This window comes from Homo sapiens, chromosome 7 (assembly GCF_000001405.40).
Source record: "Homo sapiens chromosome 7, GRCh38.p14 Primary Assembly".
In the NCBI taxonomy this organism is placed as follows: domain Eukaryota; kingdom Metazoa; phylum Chordata; class Mammalia; order Primates; family Hominidae; genus Homo; species Homo sapiens.
This window is the reverse complement of record NC_000007.14, coordinates 159,289,645-159,311,555: the sequence shown is the minus strand read 5'-3', so window position 1 is coordinate 159,311,555 and position 21,911 is coordinate 159,289,645. Positions and strand designations below refer to the sequence as shown.

The window sequence follows — 21,911 nt, the reverse complement described above, 5'->3', positions numbered from 1 at the left end:
GTCATCCTGGGTGCCACATAGCCATGTGGCACCCAGGAGGGCTATGAAAAGCAGAGCCTGTTTGAGTCCTGAATTCACATACCAGGCATAGAGGTCTTCATAAAAGACAGAGCTATGAAGACTATACCTGGAGTATCCAACCCCTCCCAGAATAGCCAGGAGGCAAAGCTAGGGCAGGGAAGAAGGGGCCATATTGGGCTTGATTCTGCCTTGTAGCTGCTGGTCTAGGCACTGACAACATGTCTCCAGACCTCACCATGACCATCCATCCAGATCGCTGAATCCAGAGGCTCTAAACCAAAACTGTAAGCTGACAGTCAAATCAAGCAAGTATCTACTTATATTTAACTGGTAATTTTAAAGTCATTCCTATTTTACCAACAATGTAAAAGCTAGTGAGAGGAGTTAGCCAGCTTGCTTTAGGCATATGGTAAGTGGGGTCGGGGGGTCCCTGGAGAACCTTGGACCTGTCCAGGTCATTGCCCAATCCAAACATACCACAAGTGCTTACACCAAATGTTTTGTACAGATAAGGGAAATCGCACAGGGTACTTGCCTAAACATGCCCTCAGTTACACAGATAAGAGAAGCTACACAGGAGACTTGCCTACATAAGCCCATGGTGGAAAATTCCATTCCTTAACACATGGACAGTAAGGGAAATAAATCAGTATGGAGTGGCTTAGACTAAGGGTCCATATGTGCACTGGAAAGATGGGGTGGAGCTGCCAGAAATTAACATCTTATGCAAATAAGGAACCCACCCCCATCAGCTTTTCTGTGAAAGCCCTTGTATTCAACTGTGAAATGGCAACATGCTTTCAGGATCCCTGTCTTTGATGAGTGCTCTCCTTTCACTTAACAAATTCTGCTTTACCCTACTCACTCTCTGGTGTCTGTGTGCCTAATTCTTCCTCGTTGTGGGACAAGAACTTGGACCTAGCTGAGCTAAGGAGCTGGAAGACCACAACACTCGCTTTATTTACCAAATATTATCACATACACAGAATACCTACAGACACACAAACACATAGAAGCAGATCTTATCGCTTTCATAAAGGATTCTCATTTGCTGGCTTTTAAATAGCTTTCTCTTCCTCATTCAAACTATCAATCTTCCAATTGCTTGTTTCATTACCCTAAGAAATAATTTACTAGGCAATAAATTCACATTTCTAAAGGGACAACTCTTAGGTGAAACAAAAAGTTATATTTTATAAGCACAGAGCTAAGCCTTTAGGCCTAAATAATGTACTATTTGCTCAAACAAGGGAAAAAAGGTATAAGTAGAAGTTCACTTAAGACAAGATGGCCAGAAAAGAACTTTAAACAAAGGTATGATTTGTTGTGTGAATTTAAAACAATGGTAAGAGTTTCTAATATACATAGACAGACACCATAAAAATGGAGATTTCCTTTATAAGTGTGAAATTATTTTACAAAAGGATTTCAAGATAGCCAGCTAAATTCCAGAAGGGTGTACTTTAGTTTGATAGGTGGTCTTTTTTAACTTAGCTACTGTTTCTTAGATAAAATTACTGAGTTTATGATGGAGCCCCTTAAAGAATAGGGCAAAGAAAGCACTTTCTATGCCTGGACTCAGCATGGATAGATCTGAAAGAGAAGCAAGAACCTACTTTACCTGAGAGCCTACCTTTTAAAAACACTCTATCTAGGATAACTTTCTTTTCACCTTCAAGGTAGGATGATGACCAAGCCAAAAGATTAGCAAATTTAATTTTTCTTATCAATTAGTCACTTAGGCTTTTTATTTGCTTTTTATAAAGAGTCTTTAAATAAAAATATTGAAATCTTTTTAGAAGCTTCTGCATATCAATAGGTATCCCTAGATGAGACTAATTCGGGAGCCCTCATTTTCAAGTGCACTTCTTCAAATGCAGTGTTGTTCATTTGAAATGTTCCACTGTAACTTTCACACTGAGCAATTCACACTGTAGATTGGATCTGTGCCCCCACCCAAATCTCATGCCAAATTGTGGTCCTCAGTGTTGGAAGAGGGACCTGGTGGGAAGTGACTAGATCATAGAGGCAGACTTCCACCTTGCTGTTCTTGTGATGGTGAGTGTGCTCTCGTGAGATCTGCTTATTTAAAAGTGTGTAGCACTTCCCCCTTTGCTCTCTCTTTCTCCTGCTCCAGCCACATAGAATGTCTCCTTCCTCTTTGCCTTCCACCATGATTGCAAGTTTCCTGAGACCTCCTTAGCCATACTTCCTGTACAGCCTGTGAACCACGAGCCAATTAAACCTTTCTTCTTTATAAATTACTCAGTCTCAGATAGTTCTTTATAGCAATGGAAGAATGGACTAATACAGTGAGCTAATACCTAAATGACCTTCATGAATTTTGTTGAAAGAAACGGCTTGGAAACTATCTGATCAGCATGAGATTTGTCACTCAGTCATCTCAGTCACTTTCCTGGATCAATATTTGTATTTTGAATTTGCTGTTAGTGTGCAGAGGCTGCACCTCCATCCCAAGTGCATCTGAAGGCAGTTCCCTCTGACCAACGAACACATGTGGAAGTTGAGAATCTAGAAAATGACTCCCTTAAAACTATTCATGTCCCTGGAAGGTCTTCCCATATCCCCAACAACATGCATTCTCATTTGAAGACCACTGACTATTCCACAGCATAAATCAGCCAACATGATTTGTTGAGTGATCATGAAGTGATGTAGATTTCAGATATCACCAGCCCCACCCACTGGGATTCAAGCTGACCACTCATTAAATGTCCTCTTTGATTCACTTTACCTTTCCCTGTGGAAGAACTTGTTTAGGCCCGTTTACTAAATCCTGATGTAAGTCAACACCAAATTAGAGAAAATCACACTTTTCAAAAAAAAAAAAAAAACTTTAGATTGATTCTCAAATGCCAAGTTTGAAATTTTCCATAACACAAAATAATTTGGAAGTCTGATTAAAGTCAGTAGGAATGATGCAAAATCATTAAGTCCAATTATTATTATTATTATTAGATCATTTCACTGTAGGACAGTTACTCCATAGCTAGTGTTTCTTAGGGAAAGCATCTTTTAACCTCAGAGTACATCTCACAAAGCAATGACATGCCTTTGAAAAGCAATGCTAAATAGACATTTTACAAATGGAATCATGCTGTCCACACATTAGGCAATTTATTATTAGAGCAATCCTAAGATTTTTTTAAAATAAAGAGATGCCCTATGCTGAATGAAAAAGCTAATACTTTAATATGCTTTCTTGTCAAATGTTCATTTTCATATAAAGGGCTTTCTTGGCAGGGGTTGCTGGGGAGCTGGACACAGCTGTCTCATTTTACTGCTGCTTGCCTTACTGTGTTTTGCCTTTTCTTTCAATGTACAAAACTGTGCACTCTTTTCTTAGCTCTGGTAGAGGGCTCAGCAATTAGCCTATGAAAGGCTATTACAAATTTTCAAATCATAAAATGTATGCTACACTGACCATGGTGACTGATGTAAAATATACTTTAAGCTGCCTCAGGATTTTGAGTCTTATTCATTGGAACATAAATGAGCAGAGCAATGAAAAAAAAGAGTTGATTATGGTTGATAAAGTGTCAATTAAAAGTCTTTAATATAATTCTTCTAGGAGATCATTAGCTATTAATTCAATCATTTGCTAATGCAATACAACCCTTTCCTGACTTGTGGCTGTCTTGTGTAGGCTATGTACTGATGTGAAGTTGCTTGTATTTGGCCTTCACTACTCCATGCACAATATATGATATTAGAATTATCTCTTTGAGCTGAGGGATGTTTTATTACCCTGATTGTGCTCACCACTCTTGTCTTCCCCAGTACATGAGAAATCTGAAACATTTTCTATGTTATTAAGTCAGTGTCACTTGTGGATGGTTGTGACTCCCCGTCCTCACTCCAATTCTCATAGATGGAAACAGAATTTGTATTTATGCATCAGCCAATAGCTCTCCTGCAGCATTTTGCATATTTAAATAAATGTGGTTCTGATCATATCTTTTTTTGGGATCATTGCAGATGTGTCTGATGATGCCACACATAACAAAGAGAATACTTGACTGAGATAATCTTATTTCAGAAGGCAGGCTTGTTAATGGGTATCTGTAACTACAACCTGAAAATACAGTCAACAAGAAAGAAAACCTCTGCCTTGCACAAACATGTATGTCTTAATGTGTGAAATTTAAACTACCTTTTAAGTGACTGTTATTTAGTACCAGTTAGCTAGATGCCCCTCCGTGGGGTTGGAGCATCATTAGGTATCAGCCTAAGGAAATGAGGTGCGAGGTAGATCTGCTGACAGGAGGTCATGAGAGAGCTAAATAATTTTTAAAAAATGGAAGTATCTTCTGATACCTAAGCTGAGAGACTGAGTGTGGGAGGCTGTAAAGCAACTGGTGGCTAAAGCCAACATGAGCAAAGCCAAGGAGTCTTTAGTTCAAGAAGAAGGACCAGGAACTTGAAGGTGATGATCCCTGGTCTCTCCATCAAGGGCATCCTGTAGTCAGCTTGGTCAAAGAAGCTTGGCTGTGTGCTGTGTTTCAGTGTCCCCTCCAGAGTTCGTGTTGAAATATACTTGCCATTGTATCAGAATTTACAGAAAGTGGGACCTTTAAGAGATGATTAAGTCATGAAGGCTCATGAAGGTAATGAATGCATTAATACTGTTATTAAGAGAGTGGAATCCCAATAAAAGGAAAAGTTCAGCCCAATTTCCTCTCTCTGTCTCATGCATTCACTTCTGCTTCTACCCTTGCCCCATGAGATGACGTTTGCTACATGCCGGCACAATGATTTTGGACTTCCCCACCTCCAGAACTGTAAGAAATAAATCTCTTTTCTGTATAAATTACCCAGTCTGTGGTATTCTGTTATAGCAGCAGAAAATAGGCTAAGCACTGTTCAATGATTAATCTCCCTTGCTATTTGTTTATTCCAGTAATTGGCATAAATTGAGACTAGCAGAGGGCATGTCCATTTTGTGTTGCTATAAGGAAACACCTGAAGCTGGGCAATTTATAAAGAAAAGGGGTTTATTTAATTTAAGTTCTGCAGGCACCAAACCTGAGGGACTGCCTGGCTTTATAAGAACTCTCAAGGGAAGTAATTACACTAAGAACCAAACCAGCATCTCAAGAACAAGAATTGCACCAAGCCATTCATGAGGTGTCCACCTCCATGACCCAGAAACCTTCCACTAGGCCCAACCTGTCAATACCACCACACTGGGGATCAAATTTCAACATGAGATTTGGTGGGGATGAACAAACCGTAGCCACACCGTAGCAGTGGGAAGCTGAGGTGAGAAGGTGCAGGGTGTGAGGAGTCCTACACAGACCTATGGCTTAGTCACTGACTGCAAGCTGGTGGGGTGAGAGGCCTAGTCCCTGGGGTTCTGATGGTGCTGTCACCATGAGTGCAGGTGACATGTAGCTCACCATGCTGTTTGGTTATAAAGCTATAAAACTTATTTCCTATTTAATGTTTTTCCTGGCCAGCTTCTTTCATGCAAAAAATAATGTCCCAACATGACAGTGGGCATTACCTTGTGCATTTTCTGCAGGGCAGCCTGTGAAGGTGGCAGCAATGGTTTGTTACTTTCCCATCTCTCCTTTCCTGTGTTTTTTGCACTTTTGCTGCTTCTCCAATGGGGTCACTGTGAGTTCAGGACGCCAGTCCACCCACACTGAATAACATTATGCCCCTGGCCCTTTCCTCCCATCTCTATTAACCTGGAGGACATGTGGCCCTCCCATTACTTCTTTCCTTGGCTGTTTTAGTGGCAGTTTATGATACACTGAAGTAGACAATACACTAAAAAGGTAATATATCCCTTCCAGAAAAAAATCTTATATGGAAGCAGGATTCCTACAGATAGAGTTTTAAATCCACAGGAAAAATTTAATGGGGGATGTTTGGTAGTGTAATTGGGTCAAAGCCTCATATATTATAATTTTTGGTGACTGTTCTGCCTATAAAATATGTAACCTACTTAGGGATAGGTATTGGTCAGGCACAAATGTTTTTCTTTGTTTGGTTATGAAAACTCTGAAAAATACTAAAGAATGTATATGATACATATCATGTGATTACATAGTGCATTTAAGGACAAGCCAGCTGAGTAAACAGATGTTAGTATCAATGTGTTAGGAATCTGCAAACAACCCCCCAGCCCCGGCATCCGAACCCTCTGTGGGCTCCTTTCTAGTCACATCCCCTGCCTCTTCCTAGAAGTAACCACAACCAGATTTGTGTTTATAGTTCCATTGTTTTCGTTACAGTTTTACAACATATATATATATCTCTAAATGATGAGTTGCAGTTGTAGAGTATTACATGTTTTAGAACACATTACAAGTAGTTTCTTTCACTATGTGTATTCCTTCATGACTTTATTCCTTCAATGTTATGCTTTGGAGATTTATTCTTGTTGATATGAATAGCTGTACATTATTTGTTTTTCCTGATACATACTATTACATCATGTGAATACTTCTGAATTATTTGCCCATTCTTTTGTTGACAGATCTTTGGGTACTTCCAGATTTCTACTATTACAAACCACAGGGCTTCAAATATTCTTACACCATATCTCAAAGTATATATATGCATGATTTCTCTCATTGAAACCTAGGACTGGGAGTATAAGGTTATAGAAAATGTACCACATAAAGTTTATTAGATTACTGCTATATTGTTTTCCTAACTAGTTGAAGGAAATGATATTTCTACCTGCAGTACATAAGGGTTTGTGTGTATACACACACATATATAAAATGATATACATTTGTCATATGTATCATAGCTAACATTTGCTCCCAATCTGAGGCCTGCATTTTTGCTTTTGTCAAAGTGTTTTTTGTTTGCTTATTTGTTTTTTCATAAAGATAAGTTATTAATGCTATGAAGTCAAGTTTATCTGTTATTTCTTTTATGGTTAGTGCTTTTGTGTCTTATTTTAAAAATCCTCTACCATGAGATCATAGAGGTAGTTCTATGTTTTCTTCTTAAAGTTTTGCCTTTCACATTTTTCTTTTTTTTATTATCCTTTAAGTTTTAGGGTACATGTGCACAATGTGCAGGTTAGTTACATATGTATACAGGTGCCATGTTGGTGTGCTGCACCCATTAACTCATCATTTAACATTAGATATATCTCCTAATGCTATCCCTCCCCCCTCCTCCCACCCCACAACAGGCCCCAGTGTGTGATGTTCTTCCTGTGCCTATGTGTTCTCATTGTTCAATTCCCACCTATGAGTGAGAACATGCGGTGTTTGGTTTTTTCTCCTTGTGATAGTTTGCTGAGAATGATGGTTTCCAGCTTCATCCATGTCCCTGCAAAGGACATGAACTCATCATTTTTTATGGCTGCATAGTATTCTATGGTGTATATGTGCCACATTTTCTTAATCCAGTCTATCATTGTTGGACATTTGGGTTGGTTCCAAGTCTTTGCTATTGTGAATAGCGCCGCAATAAACATACGTGTGCATGTGTCTTCATAGCAGCATGATTTATAATCCTTTGGGTATATACCCAGTAATGGGATGGCTGGGTCAAATGGTATTTCTAGTTCTAGATCCCTGAGGAATCACCACACTGACATCCACAATGGTTGAACTAGTTTACAGTCCCACCAACAGTGTAAAAGTGTTCCTATTTCTCCACATCCTCTCCAGCACCTGTTGTTTCCTGACTTTTTAATGATCACCATTCTAACTGGTGTGAGATGGTATCTCACTGTGGTTTTGATTTGCATTTCTCTGATGGCCAGTGATGATGAGCATTTTTTCATGTGTCTTTTGGCTGCATAAATGTCTTCTTTTGAGAAGTGTCTGTTCATATCCTTCGCCCATTTTTGATGGGGTTGTTTGTTTTTTTTCTTGTAAATTTGTTTGAGTTCATTGTAGATTCTGGATATTAGCCCTTTGTCAGATAAGTAGATTGCAAAAATTTTCTCCCATTCTGTAGATTGCCTGTTCACTCTGATGGTGGTTTCTTTTGCTGTGCCGAAGCTCTTTAGTTTAATTGGATCCCATTTGTCAATTTTGGCTTTTGTTGCCATTGCTTTTAGTGTTTTAGACATGAAGTCCTTGCCCATGCCTATGTCCTGAATGGTATTGCCTAGGTTTTCTTCTAGGGTTTTTATGGTTTCCGGTCTAACATTTAAGTCTTTAATCCATCTTGAATTAATTTTTGTATAAGGTGTAAGGAAGGGATCCAGTTTTAGCTTTCTACATATGGCTAGCCAGTTTTCCCAGCACCATTTATTAAATAGGGAATCCTTTCCCCATTTCTTGTTTTTGTCAGGTTTGTCACAGATCAGATGGTTGTAGATATGTGGCATTATTTCTGAGGGCTCTGTTCTGTTCCATTGGTCTATATCTCTGTTTTGGTACCAGTACCATGCTGTTTTGGTTACTGTAGCCTTGTAGTATAGTTTGAAGTCAGGTAGTGTGATGCCTCCAGCTTTGTTCTTTTGGCTTAGGATTGACTTGGCAATGCAGGCTCTTTTTTGGTTCCATATGAACTTTAAAGTAGTTTTATCCACTTCTGTGAAGAAAGTCATTTGTAGCTTGATGGGGGTGGCATTGAATGTATAAATTACCTTGGGCAGTATGGCCATTTTTACGATATTGATTATTCCTACCCATGAGCACGGAATGTTCTTCCATTTGTTTGTATCCTCTTTTATTTCATTGAGCAGTGGTTTGTAGCTCCTTGAAGAGGTCCTTCACGTCCCTTGTAAGCTGGATTCCTAGGTATTTTATTCTCTTTGAAGCAATTGTGAATGGGAGTTCACTCATGATTTGGCTCTCTGTTTGTCTGTTATTGGTATATAAGAATTCTTGTGATTTTTGCACATTGATTTTGTATCCTGAGACTTTGCTGAATTTGCTTATCAGCTTAAGGAGATTTTGGGCTAAGACGATGGGGTTTTCTAGATATACAATCATGTCATCTGCAAACAGAGGCAATTTGACTTCCTCTTTTCCTAATTGAATACCCTTTATTTCTGTCTCCTGCCTGATTGCCCTGGCCAGAACTTCCAACACTATGTTGAGTAGGAGTGGTGAGAGAGGGCATCCCTGTCTTGTGCAAGTTTTCAAAGGGAATGCTTCCAGTTTTTGTCCCTTCAGTATGATATTGGCTGTGGGTTTGTCATAGATAGCTCTTATTATTTTGAGATACATCCCATCAATACCTAATTTATTGAGAGTTTTTAGCATGAAGTGTTGTTGAATTTTGTCAAAGGCCTTTTCTGCATCTATTGAGATAATCATAAGATTTTTGTCATTGATTCTGTTTATATGCTGGATTACATTTATTGATCTTCATATATTGAACCAGCCTTGCATCCCAGGGATGAAGCCCACTTGATCATGGTGGATAAGCTTTTTGATGTGCTGCTAGATTTGGTTTGCCAGTATTTTATTGAGGATTTTTGTGTCAATGTTCATCAGGGATATTGGTCTAAAATTCTCTTTGTTTTTTTGTGTCTCTGCCAGGCTTTGGTGTCAGGATGATGCTAGCCTCATAAAATGAGTTAGGGAGGATTCCCTCTTTTTCTATTGATTGGAATAATTCCAGAAGGAATGGTACCAGCTCCTCCTTGTACCTACGGTGGAATTCGGCTGTGAATCCATCTGGTCCTGGACTTTTTTCGGTTGGTAAGCTATTAATTATTGCCTCAACTTCAGAGCCTGTTATTGGTCTATTCAGAGATTCAACTTCTTCCTGGTTTAGTTTTGGGAGGGTGTATGTGTCGAAGAATTTATCCATTTCTTCTAGATTTTCTAGTTTATTTGCATAGAGGTGTTTATAGTATTCTCTGATGGTAGTTTATTTCTGTGGGATCGGTGGTGATATCCCCTTTATCATTTTTTATTGCATCTATTTGGTTCTTCTCTCTTTTCTTCTTTGTTAGTCTTGCTAGTGGTCTATCAATTTTGATGATCCTTTCAAAAAACCAGCTCCTGGATTCATTAATTTTTTGAAGGGTTTTTTGTGTCTCTATTTCCTTCAGTTCTGCTCTGATCTTCGTTATTTCTTGCCTTCTGCTAGCTTTTGAATGTGTTTGCTCTTGCTTCTCTAGTTCTTTTAATTGTGATGTTGGGGTGTCAATTTTAGATCTTTCCTGCTTTCTCTTGTGGGCATTTAGTGCTATAAATTTCCCTCCCCACACTGCTTTGAATGTGTCCCAGAGATTCTGGTATGTTGTGTCTTTGTTCTCATTGGTTTCAAAGAACATCTTTATTTCTACCTTCATTTCGTTATGTATGCAATAGTCATTCAGGAGCAGTTTGTTCAGTTTCCATGTAGTTGAGTGGTTTTGAGTGAGTTTCTTAATCCTGAGTTCTAGCTTGATTGCACTGTGGTCTGAGAGACAGTTTCTTATAATTTCTGTTCTTTTACATTTGCTGAGGAGTGCTTTACTTCCAACTATGTGGTCAATTTTGGAATAAGTGTGGTGTGGTGCTGAGAAAAATGTATATTCTGTTGATTTGGGGTGGAGAGTTCTGTAGATGTCTATTAGGTCCACTTGGTACAGAGCTGAGTTCAATTCCTGGGTATCCTTGTTAACTTTCTGTCTCGTTGATCTGTCTAATGTTGACAGTGGGATGTTAAAGTCTCCCATTATTATTGTGTGGGAGTCTAAGTCTCTTTGTAGGTCTCCAAGGACTTGCTTTATGAATCTAGGTGCTCCTGTATTGGCTGCATATATATTTAGGATAGTTAGCTTTTCTTGTTGAATTGATCCCTTTACCATTATGTAATGGCCTTCTTTGTCTCTTTTGATCTTTGTTGGTTTAAAGTCTGTTTTATCTGAGACTAGGATTGCAACCCCTGCCTTTTTTTGTTTTCCATTTGCTCAGTAGATCTTCCTCCACCCCTTTATTTTGAGCCTATGTGTGTCTCTGCATGTGAGATGGGTTTCCTGGATACAGCACACTGATGGGTCTTGACTCTTTATCCAATTTGCCAGTCTGTGTCTTTTAATTGGAGCATTTAGACCATTTACATTTAAGGTTCATATTGTTATGTGTGAATTTGATCCTGTCATTATGATGTTAGCTGGTTATTTTGCTCATTAGTTAATGCTGTTTCTTCCTAGCCTCGATGGTCTTTACAATTTGGCATGTTTTTGCAGTGGCTGGTACCAGTCATTCCTTTCCATGTTTAGTGCTTCCTTCAGGAGCTCTTTTAGGGTAGGCCTGGTGGTGACAAAATCTCCCAGCATTTGCTTCCCTGCAAAGGATTTTATTTCTCCTTCACTTATGAAGCTTAGTTTGGCTGGATATGAAATTCTGGTTTGAAAATTCTTTTCTTTAAGCATGTTGAATATTGGTTCCCACTCTCTTCTGGCTTGTAGATTTTCTGCTGAGAGATCAGCTGTTAGTCTGATGGGCTTCCCTTTGTGGGTAACCCGACCTTTCTCTCTGGCTGCCTTAACATTTTTTCCTTCATTTCAACTTTGGTGAATCTGACAATTATGTGTCTTGGTGTTGCTCTTCTCGAGGAGTATCTTTGTGGCATTCTCTGTATTTCCTGAATTTGAATGTTGGCCTGCCTTGCTAGTTTGAGGAAGTTCTCCTGGATAATATCCTGCAGAGTGTTTTCCAACTTGGTTCCATTCTCCCTGTCACTTTCAGGTACACCAATCAGACGTAGATTTGGTCTTTTCACATAGTCCCATATTTCTTGGAGGCTTTGTTCATTTCTTTTTATTCTTTTTTTCTCTAAACTTCTCTTCTCGCTTCATTTCATTCATTTGATCTTCCATCACTGATACCCTTTCTTCCAGTTGATCAAATCAGCTATTGAGGCTCGTGCATTCATCACATAGTTCTGGTGCCTTGGTTTTCAGCTCCATCAGGTCCTTTAAGGACTTCTCTGCATTGGTTATTCTAGTTAGCCATTCATCTAACTTTTTTTCAAGGTTTTTAACTTCTTTGCCATGGGTTCGAACTTCCTCCTTTAGCTTGGAGTAGTTTGATCATCTGAAGCCGCCTTCTCTCAACTCGTCAAAGTCATTCTCTGTCCAGCTTTGTTCCACTGCTGGTGAGGAGCTGCATTCCTTTGGAGGAGGAGAGGTGCTCTGATTTTTAGGGTTTCCAGTTTTTCTGCTCTGTTTTTTCCCCATCTTTGTGGTTTTATCTACCTTTGGTCTTTGATGATGGTGATGTACAGATGGGGTTTTGGTGTGGATGTCCTTCCTGTTTGTTAGTTTTCCTTCTAACAGTCAGGACCCTCAGCTACAGGTCTGTTGGAGTTTGCTGGAGGTCCACTCCAGACCCTGATTGCCTGGGTATCAGCAGTGGAGGCTGTGGAACAGTGAATATTGCTGAATAGAAAAGGTTGCTGCCTGATAGTTCCTCTGGAAGTTTCGTCTCAGAGGGGTACCTCGCTGTGTGAAGTGTCAGTCTGCCCCTACTGGGGGGTCCCTCCCAGTTAGGCTACTCAGGGGTCAGGGATCCACTTGAGGAGGCAGTCTGTCTGTTCTTAGATCTCCAGCTGCGTGCTGGGAGAACTACTACTCTCTTCAAAGCTGTCAGACAGGGACATTTAAGTCTGCAGAGGATTCTGCTGCCTTTTGTTTGGCTGTTCCCTGCCCCCAGAGGTGGAGTCTACAGAGGCAGGCAGGCCTCCTTGAGCTGTGGTGGGCTCCCCCCAATTCGAGCTTCCCAGCCACTTCGTTTACTTACTCAAGCCTCAGCAATGGCGGGTGCCCTTCCCCCAGCCTCACTGCCCCTTGCAGTTTGATCTCAGACTGCTGTGCTAGCAATGAGCAAGACTCCTTGGGTGTAGGAACCTCTGAGCCAGGCACGGGATATAATCTCCTGGTGTGCCGTTTGCTAAGACCATTGGAAATGCACAGTATTAGGGTGGGAGTGACCTGATTTTCTAGGTGCCATCTGTCACCCCTTTCTTTGACTAGGAAAGGGAATTCCCTGACCCCCTGCACTTCCCAGGTGAGGCGATGCCTCACCCTGCTTTGGCTTATGGTGGTGCACTGCACCCACTGTCCTGCACCCACTTTCTGACACTCCCTAGTGAGATGAGCCCAGTACCTCAGTTGGAAATGCAGAAATCACCCATCTTCTGCATCATTCATGCTGGGAGCTCTAGACTGGAGCTGTTCCTATTCAGCCATCTTGGCTTCACCCCTCACATTTTTCTTTAAGCTACCTTAAATTCATTTTTGTAAATGGTGTGAAGTTAGGACCCAGTTTTACTTTGCACATGGATAAACAAATGGTCCTGGTACTATTTGTTGAATGGTAAATACTTTCCATAGAAATATGCTCTGCTGGCACTTTCATAATACCATTTCTCTATATTTTAATAAATCAAATATCTATATATGGCTACCTTTCTTTTTTTTTTTTTTTTTTGAGACAAAATCTCACTCTGTCACCCAGGCTGGAGTGCAGTGGTGTGATCTTGGCTCACTGCAATCTCCACCTCTTGGGTTCAAGAAATTCTCCTGCCTCAGCCTTGTGAGTAGTTAGGAGAAAATCTTTGAAATATATCCATCTGACAAAGGTCTAATATCTGGCTTCCATAAGGAACTTAACAAATTTACAAGAAAAAAACAAACCCATAAAAAAAGTGAGCAGAGGACATGAATAGGCACTTTTCAAAGGAAGACATATATGCAGCCAAAAAGCATAGAAAGAAAAGCTCAACATCACTGATCATTAGAGAAATGCAAATCAAAACCACTGTGAGACACCATCTCACACCAGGCAGGATGGCTATTATTAAAATGTCAAAAATTAACAGGTGCTGGCAAGGTGACAGGGAGACGGAATGCTTGCACACTATTGGTGGGAGTGTAAATTAGTTCAACTATTGTGGAAAGCAGTATGGTAATTCCTCAAAGAATTAAAAACAGATCTACCATTCAACTCATCAATTCCATTACTGAATATATCCACAGAGGAATAGAAATCATTCTACGATAAAGACACATGCACGTGAATGTTCATTGCAGTACTATGCACAATAGCAAAGACAGGAAATCAACATAAATGCCCATCAGTGGTAGACTGGATAAAGAAAATGTGGTACATATAAACCATGGACTACTATGGAGCCATAAAACAGAACGAGGTCATGTCTTTTGTGGGAACATGGATGGAGATGGAGGCCATTATCCTTAGCAAAACAGAAAACCAAATACCACATGTTCTCACTTGTAAGTGGGAGCTAAATGATGAGAACACACGGACACACAGAGGGAAACAACAGAGACTTGTGCTTATCAGAGGGTGGAGGGTGGGAGGAGGGAGAGAATCAGGAAAAATAACCAATGAGTGCTAGGCTTAATACTTGGGTGATGAAAATAATCTGTACAACACACCCTCACAACACAAGTTTACCTATAAAACAAACCTGCACATGTACCCTGCAACCTAAAAGTTTAAAAAAAATCCATTGTCTAGGAGGAGAAAAATTAATTAATAAAAGCACAGTTATTGGATGCATGCTTTGTTTTCATTGAGAGCACTGCATGGTTGAAAATATTTGCAGATCACAGCTTTAACCAGCATCCAGACCATTAAGTGTTCTTCAGTATCTGAGTCTGTGGATGTAGAATCTAGGCCTGCACAAGGAGGGACAAGGCTTGGTTCTTCAGCTGTTTCCAGTTTTCACCAAGTGCCTGCCAGAGCCCGGGTCCTGTAGCCCCTAAAATGCTGAGAAAGTGGCGGAGCAACAGTTATTGTGGACAGCCCACCAGGGTCAAGGGCCATATTTACTCTTCTCCTCCACCCCAGTGAGTATTCCATGTTAATTTCATGGTGAGCCGTCATGTTATAGTTTTAGTGTTTTATCAAGATATTAGAACCAAAACATTTGCAAATTCAATTCTGGTCACCATGTTTAAAACTCAGATAGTCATGAGTTCTTTTTCTAAAGCAAGATTGGCTGATGGTAATTTCTAAGATATGTTCTAACATGTAGGCATTTACCTGTAGGAAAAGGGCTGTGTTAGATCCCAGCAAATGAAAAAAAAAAAAAAAGGCAAACTCAAGGGTTTATTTACAGAAGTGTGGGCAAAGCCAAAAGAAACAATAAAAGCCTGTGAAATGCTCCCAGACTAGCAACAGCAGAAACCCTTTAATACCCCGGGGCCAAAGGGTGAGGAGAGAATGGGCTGCTGGACCCTCCCAGAACTCTGGAGGGCTGTTTCTCCATGGGGTCATTCTGCCTGACACTGTGGGCTCAGGTGGGGGTGCTGCAGGGCTGCTGCTCGACACCCTCTCATTTGCAGGGCAGCCCTAGCACAGAGAATGGTTGAGTAGAAATGCTAGTGCAGCTGAAGTTGAGAAACACCAGAGAGAAACCCAGCCTTTCTGAAAACCCGCTACTGGAAGGAAGGAAGCAGAGGAAACCAAGGCCCTCCCCACCTCTGATGGCCGGTGCCTCCCTCTGGCTGAAATCCTGGAACAGGACCTGGGTGATTCTCCCAGAGGCCAGCCTCTCAGGACCCAGAGCAGAGCTGGAGAAGTGGGAGGATGACTTAAGAGGCAGGTGGAGAAGACCAACAGCACCGTCCTCCTAGAGCCCAGACCAGGAACACTTTCTTCATGCACAAATGAGAATGGTAAATCTTTTTAAAAGACAATTTTTTCCCATTTCTTGCCTCCCCTGCTTGCTGTGGTGTGGATGGGGTTTGTTTGTCCTCCCTGAATCTCATGCTGATATGTGGTCTGGGCATGGTGGTGTTGACAGGTGGGACCTAGTGGGAGGTGTTTGAATCTAGAGTGGAACCTCGTCATCGGCTTGCTGCCTTCTCATGGTAGTGAGTTCTTGCTCTGGCAATGCTAGATGAGTACCTGTGAGCGTGGTTTGTTGCAAAGCTAGGATGTTCTTTCGTTTGCCTCTCTCTTTGCAGGTGTCCAATCCCCCTGGCTCTTCTCTGCCATGTTTTAACCCAGCACATGGCCCTCACCGGAAACCAAGCAGATGCTATGCCTGCTTCTCCCACTTCCCAGCCTCCAGAACTGTGAGCCAAGTAAATTTATAAATCACGCAGTCTCACGTACCAGGTTATAGCAACCCTTATCATACAAAGACACTGTTCCTCAGCTTCTCCAGTCTATAACCCTGACCCCAACCCAGGTTGCCCAGGTTGGTTTCCATCCTGGGCCCCTCCCAAACCCCACAGGTCTTGCTTGTCCATAGATCTTGGTGTATTGTTGCTGGAGGATCAGAGAATTGCCCTGGGTGTCGGGTCAATTCACCCAAAAGGAGTAAAAGCACCTGGGAATTTATCCCACAACTCAACCTAAGCCACGCACTGTCTGAAGGAGGATAAAATACCCACTGTCTATGCCTGCAGTCAGGATGAATTCTGATTCTATGCAACACTGAAGCACTATCACCCAAGCTCTGAGCTGCCCAAGCCCAGGCAGGGCTCCAGTGCTTCTCCCAACACCTCACCCTGATTGTTCCATCTGTTTTGGTTTCTCTCCTTTATTCAATGGATAATATGCAAATTATAGCTGAATAATAATTTCACCAATATCCTTGTCTCATAATCTGCATCCAGGGAGAGGTTGCCAGAGGCCATATCACTCATCTCTGCCCTAATCATGAAAAGTATTAACCTGAACAATAGTAACCTATGACCTCACCCTAGCCCTCACCTTCACACTTACCCTCATCATAATGCAAACTGTAACCCTAACCCTCACCTTCATCCTCACCTTCACCCTAACCCTAACCATCACCCTGAACTTCAACCTCACCTCAATCCAAATTCTAATCTTAACTCTAATCCTCACCCTCGCCCTAACCCTAACTCTAACCCCTAACCCCCAACCCTAACCGTATCTCTAACCCTCACTTTATTTACAGCAATCTGTGCTCTAACACAAAATGACATCAAAAAAATTGTAGTGTTGACTACCCTCACCCTAAACCCTGGAACCTACTTGTGGCCATTGGCCAACTGAACCTTGGGCTCTGAGCCCTGGGGCAGGCAAGGGAATCTGGATGACTCCAGCCTGCTGGAGAGAGGCAGCCAAGAGAAGCATGTTGTTAGGAACATAATCAAATTAAATTAATGGGCTGACTGGCCCCAGCAGCTCCATCTAACAACACAGAAAAAACAACAATAAGAAATGGATCATTTCTCCTGGTTTGAATGCTGGAAAACTTGCAGTCACTGAAGAGATTTCAAATGAAATTCCCTACACTATTCTGGGAAATAACTGTTCTCTGCACTCAGCCTGGTGGCTACAAGGAAAAAGGTAAATATTGCAAATACACAAGATGATGTAGAGAAACTGGAGGGCAGGAGGAGGGAGAAACGCTGTGGGGTCCTGGGGGGGCTCCTGGCCATGGCTCTGTCTCTCTTTTCACCCTCACAGCGGCTGCAGAGAGAGTGCAGCAGCCTGCTACTAGTGTACTTAAAATGAACTTGCAACTGTAAAATCCCTGGTATTTCTGAATTCTCAGGCATACATCTATTATGCTAAAAGGCACATCTGAAGTTTTAAGACTACATATCTCCCAAACATGTGGCCTGATGCCTCTGAAAGGAAGTTAGTGTCGCCACAGAGTGGCAGAAGGACCATCAACTGCTCCTTCATCTGGAGAATTGAAAGAAATTCAGAGCTTTGAAATGGCTCCTGGATAGAAGAAATAACCTAGTCTCTAGATAAGATGTAGTGGCAGCTTTGCCAATGTTCAGAGGCAGGAGCTGGTAGTGTGCTGTTAGTCTTCAACTCACTTTTGAAAAACTACAAGTCAGGTCCCTCCCAGTCTACCCTCAGCTCCCTCTTTGCCAGCGGGACAGCACTGCCAGGCCTCCTCTGTGCCCCAGCAGACCGTCATCCTGGCTGCTGCCCTTACCCTCCTTTTGGCCTGGAATCTGTTTTTTAAGACTCACTTCCCTATGGAGCCTTCCCCGAAGACCCAATCCCTAAGATAATTTTTTCTTCACTAGGACCCTGATGGTGGATGCTGTGGATTCCTCCAGCCTCTCTCTGCATGCCAGCCTGGAGGCTTCCAACTGCAAACACCTATGACATTTCCTGAAGCCTTTGTCTGGCTCCTGGAATCCACCTGATGGTGTGCAGGGTTGGCTTGAGGTCCTGGGAGTGGCCCTTGGACCAGTTGGTGTGTGAGTCCGCTGGTGGAGCCTCCAGCAGTCTACCCTAGTTCAGGATACTTTGGAGCCTGCTGTGCACCATCTCCCAAAGTTCCCCAGGAGATTTCAGTCCCATTAATTTAATAAGAGTTTATTCTACAGGCTCCCTTTCCTTTCATGTCTCACTGCCCATGGGCCTCCTGGGAACATCTCCCAACAGCATTGCCTGCACTCATTTCTCAGGTCAGCTTCTGGGAAACTCAACCTAAAACAATCCCCACAGATCTTACCATGGTGCTCACTCAGCGTTCATTCATTAATGTTTTTCTGCTGTCTTCTAAATGTAGTATCTCATCAATGAGATCATGAACTACTTGAAGGAAGTAGCTTCCATCATCAGCTTCCCCCACAGTTTCTGGAATAGCATAGAGCTTTATATAGCTGGCACAGTGGGACTGAATTTTTCACTTCCAAAAGTTTGTTAACATTGCAGATTTTCATTTATGCCACCTACAGTTTAAGAAATAAGGTGCTTGTGAGCTTACCAAGATACACAGAAATTATGTCAACTGTAAATATTACACCAACACTTAATGGCATCACTGGTGCCCAAACTCCTGGTTTGGGTTATACATAATTTTTCTTTACGTATACAACAAAGGAAGTTATTTGGGAGAAAATAGCACATGCTATCAGGAGTCAGTGATTTTTGAATACAAGGCAAAGACCTATTTTTCCTCTCAAACTGAAAGGTGGAGGGGTTCTTGATTATTGCTATTTGGGGCAGTTGATAATATTGTACAGTCAGAGGGACTTTGGGGCCATCTGATAGCCAATGTTCTTCTATACAGTTGATCATTTGCAAGAAGACAAGATAGTCTTAATATTTTAGTTATGAGAGAGCAAATCACCTTGGTGTGCTGGAAAAAGAAAAAAACAATTAAAAGTCTCTCCAATCAGACACCCTTACAATTCTCCCTGATCCTCCCTGTGTGAGGTTGTTAAGCTTTAGAGATAGGCTGGCCTGGGTCTTAGCTGTGTCACTAGTGGTTGATTTTAGCCATATCGTTCCTTTTTAAAATGTATTGTTCTTATCTATAAGTGGGGAAATAATAATGACTCTGACTTCATAGAACTGTTACAATTAAAGTACATGAAACAGTGTATTTAAAGTGCCCAGTACAGCGTTGGGCAGCTAATAAACTATTAATAAGTGGTTCCTGCTATCACAACCACCGTCATCATCACGAGCATAATCAGAGGCCCTGCAGCATCCCTGCAAGACGGTGGAGAGGCTGAGTCCCAGGTGCTGGTTTAACAGTGAATGAGCCCTTTCCACTCGATTCTTCCAGGATCACACACTGATCTGCCATCTGCTACATCACTTTGGTCTTGTCCATGCAGAAAATATGCTAATTCCAGAAATGACTTTTTTTGTCACTTTAGGTCCTTAGAGACTTTGACAAAGTTTGGCTGCTGGATCTCTAACCTGTCTTCTCTGTGGGTGATTTTATAAACTTCTCTCATTAGGGTCCATCTCAAGCAAAACTCTAAAATCAGTGACATTTTCTCACCTTGGGGGATTTTTAAACAATTCCCTGGGGTCCCAGCATCAACTTTTTAAAAGCCACTCCAGGATGTCCCAACTGCAGCCAAGGTTGAGAATCACTGGACTTGGTTGTGGCCATAAACTAGGAACCTGGGGAGGGGTGGAGACAGGACTAATGGGATTGAGTGGCTCAGGGAACCGCGAGGCTCTGGGATGGATGTGTTTTGCACAGGGATGTTGAAAGGCAGGGGTCCTGGAGAGGGAAACAGAGATGAGCCAGGCCAGGAGCCCTCCAGTGAGCAGGAAGCTGATAGTGTGAAGCTGATAGACGAGGGCAAGTGGAGAGGTCAGAGGGTGGGGCCTGAAGGTGTGTCCTACTGAGAACAGGATATTTGAGAGGAGAAGGAAAAGAGCAAGGAGGCACCACTGTCCAGTTGAGGCCCTGTGCTGAGGGGGCATTGAGGAGGAAAATGCAGCTACCAGTGTGAGAGAATCTAGAGCATCCTCAAGGGGGTATTTCTGTTTTAATTAGAGCAAGAAGACTTTTTCATTCACTCAACAAGCATACTGAGTGAACAAAGCAGACTGACACCCTTCAACACTCACAGTGGAGAGCTATGAAGGGAACCCTGAGGGAAGCTGCTGAGCATGTGGAGGTGCTGTTGGTCTGAGCACGTGGAGATGCTATTGCTTTACTCTGAGTTCTGTGGGCTCACATTTTGGTGACAGCTTGGGAACCAGTCAGATTAGTGTTACATGGAGGCAAATATAGAGTCAAATCCCTGGTGACCTGTGGATAGTGTGGATAGCATGGCTCTGAAGACTGGTAAATGATTCCCCCTCATCTCTCTGAGCAAGGAAGTGGGTAATAAATTCTAATTGGAGATGCTTTGCAGGATGTGTCAGAAGCACTTGGGGAGAAGGCTGTGTCTTGCCCAGGAAAGAAAAGTTTTACAAGGAACACGTGGAGCTCTGTGAGGCCTCCTCTACATTTTACATTGGCAGGGTCAGGACAGGGAGGGACTGTGCTCCAGACCCAGGGAGAATCCCGGCTCTACCATTTAACTCTGGGACTTTAGGCAAGGCTTTTCTTGGCACCTCCTTTCCTCATCTGGAATAGGGAAATTATAATGATACTTGCTTGAAAAGCTTGTTGTAAATATTAGATGAAAATATTAGGCATAACAGCTGGTACCATTTTGGGGTACACAGGAACCACTCTATACATGTTAGTTATTTTTTAAATTATACTTAAGTTCTGGGATACACGTGCAGAACGTGCAGGTTTGTTACATAGGTATACAAATACCATGGTGGTTTGCTGCACCCATCAACCCGTCATCTACATTAGGTATTTCTCCTAATGCTGTCCCTCCCCTAGCCCCCACTCCCTAACAGGCCCCAGTGCGTGATGTCCCCCTCCCTGTGTCCATGTGTTCTCATTGTTCAACTCTCATTTATGAGTGAGAACATGTGGTTTTTTGTTACTGTGTTAGTTTGCTGAGAATGATGGTTTCCAGCTTTATCCATATCCCTGCAAAGGACATGAGCTCATCATTTTTTATGGCTGCATAGTATTCCATGGTGTATATGTGCCACGTTTTCTTTATTCAGTCTATCACTGATGGGCATTTGGGTTAGTTCCAAGTCTTTGCTATTGTGAGCAGTGCTGCAATAAACATATGTGCGCATGTATCTTTATAGTAGAATGATTTATAATCCCTTGGGTATATACCCAGTAATGAGATTGCTGGGTCAAATGGTATTTCTTGTTCCAGATCCTTGAGAAATTGCCACACTGTCTTCCACAATGGTTGAACTAATTTACACTTCCACCAACAGTGTAAAAGCATTCCTATTTTTCCACATCCTCTCCAGCATCTGTTTTTTCCTTACTTTTTAACAATTGCCATTCTGACTGGTGTGAGATGGTAAGTCATTGTGGTTTTGATTTACTTTTCTCTAATGATCAGTAATGTTGACCTTTTTTTCATATGTTTGTTGGCTGCATAAATGTCTTCTTTTGAGAAGTGTCTGCTCAGACCCTTTGCCCACTTTTTGTTGGGGTTGCTTGCTGTTGTTCATAAATTTGTTTAAGTTCCTTGTAAATTCTGGACACTAAACCTTTGTCAGATGGGTAGATTGCAAAATTTCCTCCCATTCTGTATGCTGCCTCTTCACTCTAATGATAGTTTCCTTTGCAGTGCAGAAGCTCTTTAGCTTAATTAGAACCTATTCGTCAATCTTGGC

At 41.8% G+C, this 21,911-nt stretch overlaps 1 annotated feature.

Moving 5' to 3' along the window:
* Nucleotides 422-716: an enhancer, noted in NCBI's record as "tiled region #2850; HepG2 Activating DNase matched - State 6:EnhF, and K562 Activating non-DNase unmatched - State 5:Enh". NCBI's record gives its function as "activates a minimal TATA promoter and a strong SV40 promoter by Sharpr-MPRA in HepG2 cells, with weaker activation in K562 cells {active_cell/tissue: HepG2 | K562}" and the evidence as "EXISTENCE:reporter gene assay evidence [ECO:0000049][PMID:27701403]".